General features: G+C 35.5%; 1 protein-coding gene across 12 annotated transcripts in view; it reads right to left on the bottom strand.

Annotated features, from left to right (window-relative positions):
• Nucleotides 1-8742: 8742 nt before the first annotated feature.
• Nucleotides 8743-11285, bottom strand: part of IL18R1 (interleukin 18 receptor 1) — a 42981-nt gene continuing 40438 nt past the window's right edge. For 6 of the 12 annotated variants that reach the window (NM_003855.5, XM_024453204.2, XM_024453205.2 and 3 more), the window contains one exon: nt 8743-10988. In NM_003855.5, coding sequence (NP_003846.1) covers nt 10633-10988 — 356 coding nt within the window. In that variant the 3' untranslated portion in view covers nt 8743-10632. The remainder of the gene's footprint in view (nt 10989-11285) is intronic. The other 6 variants (NM_001371418.1, NM_001371422.1, NM_001371423.1 and 3 more) reach the window with 1 other exon arrangement.

Below are 11285 nucleotides of genomic sequence, written 5' to 3'. Positions count from 1 at the left end.
CTTTATATCTTTCATTAATATTTTTTTAAATTCTCCACTAGAAATGTATTTCTAGTGGAAAATTAATGCATTCTCACATTAATGCATTTTCAATGCATTCAACACATTAGGAAATCTCCTTCCTAAAGACCATCTACCTAGAACTTGCTCTTCTGCTTAAATATGGCAAATGCACAATTTCCAGCATTGGATTTCCATTTATCATCAGTCTGGAGATCTGGAGATGCCTTCCACCATTTTCCTTAGCTGGATTCCATTTCCCTGAAGCCCAAAGTACTATATGTTCCCTTTATGGAGGACCGCTTCTTCCAGGAGATCTCAGACAAAGGGACATGGCAGGAAATATCTTGAGGCCTTACTTGTCTGAAAATATCTATTTTACCCTCATATTTGAATAATTGTTTGACTCAGTAGAGAAATTTAGGCAATACATAATATTTTCTTCCAAAATGTTAAGGCAGTTCTGTCTCCATTTTGCTGAGTAATTAATTGGTGGGCTCTTTCAATCTGGAGCTTCATATCATTCTATTTTGAGATGCTTTCTTATTTCCAAAAATGTTATTAGACTAATTTGCAAATTCTTCTATTTTTTCTCTATTTTCATTTATTTAGCTCCTTGTTTTACATTCTGGGTAACACTTCATTATCCTCCAACCCTGATATTGTCTTTTCCACTTTAGCTAATTCATTTCTAATTTCCAACTCATCTTTATTATGCTCTGATGTAATATCTTTTCTTGTCTCTCTGAAAATATTAAAGTTTGTTCTTTAAATATGTTTTTCCTTTGGCTTATCTCTGTTATCTCCAAGTTCCATTTTGTTATTTGTTAATCATGGCCTTTCATAGTAAAGGATTTTCTTAAATATGTAAGGATTTTTCACTGTCTACTAATATTTAATAATGGGATGCTATGGCAAAGGTTTTGCACACATACACACAACTACAGACAAATCTTACTTAGAAGTATATATACAAAGTTCTAAATAAAATATTAGCACATAAAATACATATTTTTAAAATTCATTAGGATTGCATAACTGCAAAGTTGGTTTGATATTATGAAAACATTAACATTCTCTATGGAATATGAATGGTCTATATGGTCTAAAACTATATGGTCACCTCCAAAGTTGCAGAAAAGGTTTTGAACAAAAATAAACACACACTTATGTTTAAAAAAAACACTAAACATGTTGTTTAGTTTCCATGTGTTTGTAAAGTTTTTGAAAATTCTCTTGTATTGATTTCTAATTGTATACCATTGTGCTCAGAAAAGATATTTGATATGATTTTAATCTTCTTAAATTTTTTAAGACTTGTTTTGTGGCCTAATATAAATATATGTTCTATCCTAGAGAATGTCCCATGTTGAGAAGAATCTATATTATGCAGCTGTTGAATGGAATGTTCTGGAAATGTCTGTTACATCTATTTAGTCAGATTAACTAAGAAAAAAAGTAGAGAAAACTAGAATAAATAAAATCAGAGACAAAAAAGGAAATGCTATAACCGATACCATAGAAATACAAAGGATTGTAAGAGGCTATTGTGAACAATTATATGCCAACAAATTGGATAAACTAGAAAAAATGGATACATTTCTGGACACATATAACCTACCATGAAGAAACAGAAAACCTGAAGAATCAATAACAAGTAATAATATTAAATCAGTAAAAAGTCTCCCATCAAAGAAAAGCCCAGGAGCTGATAGCTTCATTACTAAATTCTATGAAACATTTAAAGAATAACTAACACCAATTCTACTAAAACTATTATTTAAAAATTGAAGAGAAGGGAATACATTCAAACGCATTCTACAAGGCAAGCATTACGATGATACCAAAATCAGACAAGGACACAATGAAAAAAGAAAACTACAGGCCAATATTCCTGATATATATAAATGCAAAATCCCTCAACAAAATACTAGCAATCTGAGTTCAACAGCACATTAAAAAGTTTTTTCACCATTATCAAGTGGGATTTAATCCAGGAATGTGAGGATGTTTCAACATATGGAAATCAATAAACATGATGTATCACATTAACAGAATGAAGGACAAAAACTGTATGATCATTCCAATAGATGCCAAAAAAGCATTTGACAAAATTCAACATTCCTTCATGGTAAAGCTCTCAACAAATTGGGAACAGAAGGTGTAGGTGTGACAATACAATAAAAGCCATATATAAAACCCACATCAATGCAATAAAAGCCATATATAAAAACCCACAACTAATATCATACTGGATGGGAAAAAATTGAAAAATTTTTCTCTAAGATCTGGAATAAGATAAGGATGCCCACTTTCACCACTTCTATTCAATATAGTACTGTAAGTCCTAGCCAGTGTAAACAAGCAAGAGAAATAAGTAAAAGGCATCAAAATTGGAAAGAAAGAAATGAAATTATCCCTGTTTATTAGACAGCATGATAATATGTATAGAAAACGCCAAAGAATTCACTAAAAAATGGTGAGAACTAATAAATTCAGTAGAGTTGCAGGATATGAAATCAACATACAAAAATCCATAACATTTTTATACCCCAATAGCAAACTGTCTGATAAAGGAATCAAGAAAACGATCCCATTTACAATAGCTACGAAAGAAATAAAATACTTAGTAATGATTTAACCAAGGAGGCAAAAAATCTCCACACTTAAAACTATAAAACATTGATTTAAAAAATTGAAGACCACACAAATTATTGCAAAGGTATTCCATGTTCATGGATTAGAATTAATACTGTTAAAGTGGAGAAAATATCTGGATAGCTATGTCTCAAAAGATAACATACAAATGGTCAACAGGTATATGAAAAAAATGTTCAATATCACTAATTATTAGGAAAATGCAGGTCAAAACTACAAAGAGATAAAAACTCACCTCAATTAAAATGGCAATTATCAAAAAGATAAAAAAATAACAAATGCTGGTACAAACAGGGAGAAAGGGAAACTCTTATATACTGTTGGTAGGAATGTAAATTAGTACAGCCATTATGGAAAATAGTATTAAGATTCCTTAAATAATTAAAAAACAGAACTACCATATAATTCAGAAATCCCACTGCTGAGTATATATCCCCCCAACAAAATGAAATCAGTATGTTAAAGAGATATCTGCACTCTCATGTTTATTGCAACACTATTTGCAATAGCCAAGATATGGAATCAACCTAAGTGTCTATCAGTGAATGAATGCATAAAGGAAATGGAGTATGTATACACAATAAAATACTATTTATCCAATTAACAAAAAGAAATCCTGTCATTTGCCACATGTATAAACCTGGAGGACATTATGTTAAGTGAAATAAGCCAGGCACCGAAAGATAAATACTGCATTATCTCACTCATACATGGAATCTAAAGAAGTTGAACACATAGAAGTAGAGAGTTAGGATAGTGGTTACCAGAGGCTAGGAAGCAGAAGGATAGGGAGAAATTGGCCTATAGGTACAAAAGTACAGTTAGGAGGGGTAAATTTTGGTGTTTCATTGCACATAGGGTGCCTATGGTTAACAAGATGGTATTATAGATTTAAAAATAGCTAGAACAGAGGGTTTTAAATGTCCTGATCACAAAGACAATAAATGTATGAAGTGATGGATATGCTAAATACCCTGATTTCAGTTTTAATAATGTACACATGTATCAAAACATACAGTGTACCCCACAAATATGTACAATCATTATGTGTCAATTTAAAACACATTGACCAATGGAACAGAATAGATGGTCCAGAACTAGGTCTAATAGGATATGGAAATTGAATAGACATTAAATGGGCATCTTATGTTAGTGGGTAAAAAAATGAACTTTTTAAGAAGTGGTGTTGTGATAAATACACAGACATATGAAAACAATGCAATGGATCCATTTCTCAGACTAAACACCATAGTAAATTCCAAATGGATTGAAGATTTAAAGTGAAAAATGAGTCCATATCTGTATTGAAAGAATGGATTAATTCTTTTAAAATCTAAAAGCAAAGAAAAAAAACTGGAAAACAATTGCAATTTACATCACAAAGTCTTAATATGTCTACCATGTAAAAACCTTCCCACAATGATAATGAAAGAGATCAAAATCTCTGTAGAGAAATGGGCCAAAGCTAAGGCACAAGCACTCCAAGACATTGATGATAAGAATACAAAATGTTACAACCCCTATGAAGATGAATTAGGCAATATGGAGCAAAATTACATATGTATTACCCTCTGACCCAGCAATCCTATGTCTAATATCCCAAAAATATTCTAAGGAAAAAGCATGAAATATGCATGCATAAGACTTCTTTGTAACATAAATTCTAAGAGCAGAAGACTGGAAATATTTGGGACTGATTGAATAAACTATAGTACAGCCACACAATGGTATACCATGTATCTGTATAAAAAAAGTATTTATCAGAAATAGTTCCATGTACAATTATGGAGTGATCTCTAGAATATATTATCAAGTGGTAAAATCAAGGGGAGAAATTGTATATAATATCTACTATTTATCTCTACTATTTATCTGTGAGAGGTGACAAGAAATAAATATGCATGAATATTTACTTATATAAAAATATAGAAGGATAAACCAACATCATTTTGAAAAATGTTTTGCCCTATTATAAAACAAAATAAAATTTTAAAAATCAATTCCTAAAAATCAGAACAAAACAAATAAATATGTTTAACTGACAAAACCACAATAAGAGGAATAATTTCAAATAACTTTAGAATACAATGATGACTCTATATTCTAGTGAAATATTCTCAAGGGATAAAATAGTACAAAAATGTTTTCAACTATTTTTAGGAAACAAAATATTAAAGGATGTGTTGGTATTATAATTCTTCTGCAATATATGCCTTTTGGATATATGTACATTGAGGGATAAAGCAAATTAACAATTATGTTGATGCCACTGGGAACTGGAATTTTCTGCGTGGCAGTGATTCCAATGTAAAGTTGATGAGGCTAAGTAAAACCTGCGGTCCTAAATTTAAATTGGATTTTCAGTATTAATTTATAATTCATTTTATGGATGTATATGTATTTCCTTATTATATCTACTCAGAAAGCCTAGAAACATTGATGAACTCAGTTAAGAGTGTGCAACTGTTAGACCCAAATTGTGGTCTCCGAAAACAATTTCTCACTGAAAGGAACCATGGCTCCTTAGAGAAATGGCTTTGTCCGGGACTAAGAAAAGAACAAGCCTGGAACACCTTCCCATATCAGAAAATCACAACAACAAAATTAGGAAATGATCAAAAATACTACAGTGGAGTCAAAAGAACTTAGGAATCCACCTGAAGATGGCCCAAAATAGACAATTTTAGTGTTAGAAAATGATTGTTAATTTTGTTAAATGTTGGCAATCGTGATTTTGAAGATAAGCATCTATTTACTGGAGATGCATGCGGAAGTATTCAAGAGTAATGTCATCATGATGCAACAAACCTACAACAAAAACATCCAGTATGAAAAAAAGACAGGAATAAATTAAATATGGGAAAATGTTAACAATCTTTGAGTCTGGATTGTAGATATATGAATATTTGTTGCATATTTCCTTCTACTTCTCCATATGTTTCAAATGTTTCATAATAAACATTTTAAAATGTAAAGTTAAAGCAGCCAAGTGCTCTCTTTTTCTCTCTTTGCTTAATATGAACTTGAATTCCCTCTTGGCCATACTTTTTCTAAGTTTCACAATTTGAATGTAATAATATGATAACACTGAAAATCAAGAGAAACAACTTGAAAAGTCAGTAACTGGTTTGCAACTCACTGCAGAAAACAAATGTAACTTTAACATCACAACTTCCTTTTGATTTTTAAAAAAATCAACTTGGTTATCACCATTACTCATCAGCCTTAGCTCAAGTGACTTTGGTAATTTCAAAAACACATGACTAAAGAATGAAAATGTAAGGGTATTGGCTATTTTGTGCCTTGGTTTGTGAGTTTCTAAAGATGAATTTTAAAAGTGGTTTGATTCAAGAAAATCATTATAGAAAGTGTGTGATCTGCTTACATGCTTACTTCCAAGAGGACAGCTCTCATATAAATGCTTAATTTCATGTATATTTGTTAAAAAATGCAAGCCAGTTATGGATCATATCTTAGTAACACCTTCATTCATCTTTTAATTTCATTCTGTACACAGTGCACATGATCACTGAGTAGAAATAAACAATGTAACAGAATCTTGAAAGTTTTAAAGCTAATTCTTTTACTACACATATTTCTAAAAAGCCATTCATTCATTCATTCATTTTCACAGGCCGTTTGAGATAATTATTCTAAAGTCAGTTTCGTTATAGAGGGCATTGTTTCTAAGGCATGTTTTGGAGTTTATATTTGTCCATATTAAGTCTGGTTATAAGTGGTATAAAACCCAATATAAGTGGCCTTAGTCTGTTTCTTTCCAAGGTCACCCTATGACCAAGATGGTTTCTCGTCAGGCCCACGTGCAAGTAACCAGAGCCAAATGTTCTTCTGGAGAAAAAACTCTAGGCCTAAGGCATTGACTTACTGACCTCTGTGCTCTGCTATTGTCTCATCTCTCATCTTAATAGTGTTCACTTGGAGAACATCTAAAGCAAAAGGCTTAGATCAGAAGGTGGCGCCTGCAGTGCCATTTCTACCAATGTTTGAATGGCAGTGCCCCGCCTCACCTCCTGTTAAGACTGCCACTCAAAGCTGCTGCTCCTGGCAGTCTCAGTTAGGTGCACAATTGGCCTTCTCAATCAACAATTCCATATTAGATGGCTCTCAGTCAACTTAGACTTCAGCCTATCTGTTTCTGGAGCTGGCAGCTGCAGCAAGAGCTTCCTGGTTGCACAGATTTCTTTCTGGTTGTGGCAAGATCAACAGCTCTATTTGGCAGCCTAGGTTTTTCATATGACTTTGGAAGACATCCCTGGAAGAGGAGCCTAGAGTCCGTTTCTTCATCTCTCCAAATAATTCTGTAATGATTTCTGTTTAAACTGGCTAGAAAGAATTATATTCATTGTATCTAAACCATGACCTCCTCGGAAGTATTCTGTTCTGTTAAATAAAATGTTATGTGAGTCCTCAACATACAATATGGATAAAAGCAGTGTGGCTCTAGTTGTGGTATGTGGAGGGGGTGGGAGCAGTGAGGTGAAAGGGAAGATCCAGGAGCCCAGCTCCCATGTTCTCCAATTTTCCATTCCACCATCCAGGATGGTCCCTGAGTCACCTCTGAGGAACCCCAAGACTCCCAAGCCACTATTTGAAAGTCAGTTAACATGTTCACTATTAATTATTAAACACACACATCAAATTGTAGCAATCACGTAAATGAGGTATGGTGTTCTCCCGGTGTGTCTGTGCACCCGCGAGTTATATGCCAGAAGGAGATAAAAATTTTCAAAAGTCTCACACAGAAATCTGGGTGTTGGTCTTAAGCTCCCAGCCTGGACTGTGATCACTATCAGCATGGCACGCAGGTGGGGCTGGAGGGCCCTGTGTCCTGCCCATGAGTTTCCTGTTAGGTCTGTGGCTTGGTCACTCTTTGAAGATCCTTGCATTGCTTAAGGTCACACTGCTCAGAGCAGCTTCTGCTCAGATGGCTTCTGCTAACCCTGGGTCCCCTCCCTCACAGCTGAACTTCAGACCAAGGTGACAGGTTAATTCCTCTGAGTATTTACAGCTATGATTCAACTTGGTTTGGGGCACTGATTTTGCTAATGTCCTCTCTTTGGACAACTGTCTCCTTTCTGCTCCTCGCTGAGAGCCCCAGCAAACCCAACTGGCGAGTCATTTGCCTCAACACAGGCCGGGGGCTCCTAGCAGATGCCGGAGGTTCTAACTCTCTGTATCTCAGCAGAGGCCACAGTGGGCGGATGTGCTCCATCAATTGTGCTCTTTCACCCTGCACTGAACTTGAATGCCTATTTGTTTTTAATGGCTTATAAGGAATCCTGAGCATCCCTCTCACTCTCTTTTCCTCCTCAGAGCCAGTCCTAGACAGCCCGCTTCCCCTCCGCAGGCCCCTGCCCTAGGCCCTCTTAGCCTAAATTGTCGGCCCCAGAAAAGTGCCTGCAGCCTCCAAGATGCTCATCTCCAAGAGGAGGCCGTACGCCATCCTGTGCCAACCTGGTCAGACCGCTCGTGTGCAACTGTGACCAAGTCCCTGGACTTACCATGCCTCAAGTTCCTGGGTTTGGAATACGTGGGGCCTAAGGCTTCTCACTGCTTTGAGAAGATATAGCTCTAATGAGTAAATGCTTCTAGGACATGACAGACATGTAAGAGGTGTTTCTTCACGTGCCCTAGAAAGGTAGTTGTGCTGATTCTCTAAAATAGACTTCACAGTTTAAGGGCATCTGAACCATGGAAAAGAAAGCTGTTTTATACCTGAAAAGTTATTTGTTGGTCCTGGTTGGGGAATGTTTAAACCAGAATTTTAAAATATGCCCATTAATTAACTGACATATGAAGACTTACCATGTATAAGTCCCTGTGTTTAGTATTGAGTGGCTTGTGAGAAACAGAAGAGAATTAGTTTGCTCCTGGATGGAAGGTGTGAAACAAGAAGGTAGGTGCAAGGCAATTTGACATTTAAAAAGAGAGAGGTGCATGAATTCATTTTGAATGGCCCATATTCTATTAAAACAGGTAGGAGTCTATGTTAAGAACGAGGAATTGGAATCTTAAAGTAAGTGAAAAAGACGTCATGATATTTCAAAAATAAAGGCATTAGACTAATGGTTCATTAATGTATTTCAACGTGTTTTATGCATTTTAAAACACACATCTAATGTATACATTTAAGACATTTAACTTGAAATGCATTTAATGCAAAATATATTTCAAGTATTTTAAAGCAAGTATAATAAAAGAGAAAAGCAAAATCATTCTATGTATTAGAGACTATGCAATAGCAATGAAATCTATTTTGATTATATATGTTCACTAACATGTTTTCACACATAAAATATGAGCTATTAATTAAATTATTTTACTCTTTTTAGTCATCCAGTTGGTACACAAAATTGTAAGCACTACAAACATTAAATCACATTCTTACACTGACAATCTCACTCTTTTTTGGTTTTCAGTAATATCTACTACACCCATTTGAAACAATCTCTGCTTTAAACTTTTGTAGAACATTCATGTTGCTCCCACATGTTCTAACCAGCCTTCCGAACTGACGGTTTCACAGTCACTTGGTGATTTTCTTGAATAGCTATTATTTTTGAGATCATCAAGAAGGCTCCCAGTGCTGGGCTCCCTTTGGGGGGTAAGACATGTGTCTTCCAACGTCAAAAGAGGCAGATGCACAATGGAGAGATATCTTTCGCCCTCTGGATATGCTTCTCCAGTATGCTTCTCTACATGTGCAAACCTCCTCAAATCAAAACTGCCTTCCTCCCTAGATCTGCTTCCCTTCCCTGCTCTGTAGCTTCCATTAGTCCACTGCTAAATAATTGATCTAAGTAATCATTAATAATGATAATAAAAATAGTCATGGCAACACTGACGGAGTGCTGAGTCTGTGTCAGGAACCACTGTAAGTACTTTATTATATTTATTCATTTAGTTACCCCTGGGAGGTAGGTGCAATTATTATAAATTCTAATTTCACAGATGAGGAAACTGAAGCACCAAGAGGTTGGATAAGGTTCCAGAGGCCACAGAAGTAAGTAGCAAACTCAGGACTGGAGCTCAGGATGGGCTGCACAGCCCATCTCTTAACTGCCACACCATGCTGCCTTATGCCAAGGGCATTTTTAATATGTAATTTTTAAAAAACAAGCAAGTAACTATCAGTTTTTTGCTATTCAATGGCTAATACAACCTGGCAAACATTTTGATATAAACATTCACACAAAATCAACAAATGTTTCAGAGCATCCAAAGTGAAAGGCCCAGATAATTAACTCAATTAGAATTTGTGTCTCTTGTGAAAGATAAAGAGCTATTCTGGGGTCCTTTTAAGAAGTTCCCATAAATAGATCCACATAAGCAGGCTCTGCGTTGCAGGGCCTTACCGAGCTTTCAAGAACCGTTGGCTGCAACTGTGGCCAGGATACATTAAATGCATCCTGAGGCTGAGGCCCTGCAGCCTCTGAAGGCGGCCCTGCCAGCCCCTCCTCCCACATCCTATGCACAACCAGATCCATGGTGTTAGGGAGTGAAAGCAGCATTTCAGTTACTCAGTCACCCACTGGTCCCTAGAAAATGCCTCTTCAGACACTTAAAATCCCCTCATTCGAATTAAGCACTGGCATTAAAACTCTTAAAGATGCGCCCTTTTTGTAGGGCATCGGTTATTTTGCATCACGTCCAGCTTCACACTTGCTGAATATGGGATTGAGTATGAGCAGCTGCATCCAGTTATGAAAGAGGGAGAAAAAGAATAGCTCCATTTCTTTTGAATTCCAGGTCTTCTGGGAGCACGTGACCACAGCCCACAGCGCAATCTTTAGTCTCATTCCCGCCAACCTAATGACAAGTTTCATCTTCAAATTGTGAGCAGGATTTTGACAAAGTTAATTATTTCGAGTCACAGCCTTTGTTATGAACAGGTTCATATGCTCAGTCCCCAGAATATCTTGAGTTCTTTTTGGCGTTCACTGTTTCTGAAGATTAAGACTCGGAAAGAACAGGCAAGACTTCCGGTTCGTCTCTACCTGGCTTGACTGTTTTTGCAGGCATTAAGTAAAGAAGGTTCTTCCAGAACCTTGAGTTATAAGAAAGAGATTTATCGGCCTTCCACTTCAGAACTCTGTGAGATTTCAAAAGCTTTAGTGATTGGGGCAAGAATGTGAAGTCAGTAACAGGTGTAAATTCAATTAAGATTATTTTAATTTTTCTTTCCACCAATGCTTCATGGAGTCCACTTTCAAGTTCATACCTGACCTCATTAGACATATAACTTTTACTTAGGACAATGATTAGTCTTCGGCTTTTCTCTATCAGTGAGTGGATTTCATCAACAACAGCTGAAAATGCAAGATAACCCCTATTAATTTAAGATAACTGAAAGGGGGAACATGAGATAAAAGTCATTTTGCACAGTCTTATTTTATATTAACTCCTAACCTCACTAATAAGTTTTTCTTTAAGACAAACCATTTGTTCTTAATTTTATATGCTTATTAAAAAATCTCTAGGTAACAATAATAATGAACACCTACTTAGCACTTATTATGTACCATACCTTATTTTAAATGTTTTTTGTATATTAACTCATTTAATCATCATAATACGCTACAGAGAAGATACTGTTATCACCTCCA

Source organism: Homo sapiens, chromosome 2, assembly GCF_000001405.40.
Source record: "Homo sapiens chromosome 2, GRCh38.p14 Primary Assembly".
In the NCBI taxonomy this organism is placed as follows: Eukaryota; Metazoa; Chordata; class Mammalia; order Primates; family Hominidae; genus Homo; species Homo sapiens.
This window is presented reverse-complemented; position numbering and strand designations above follow the sequence as displayed.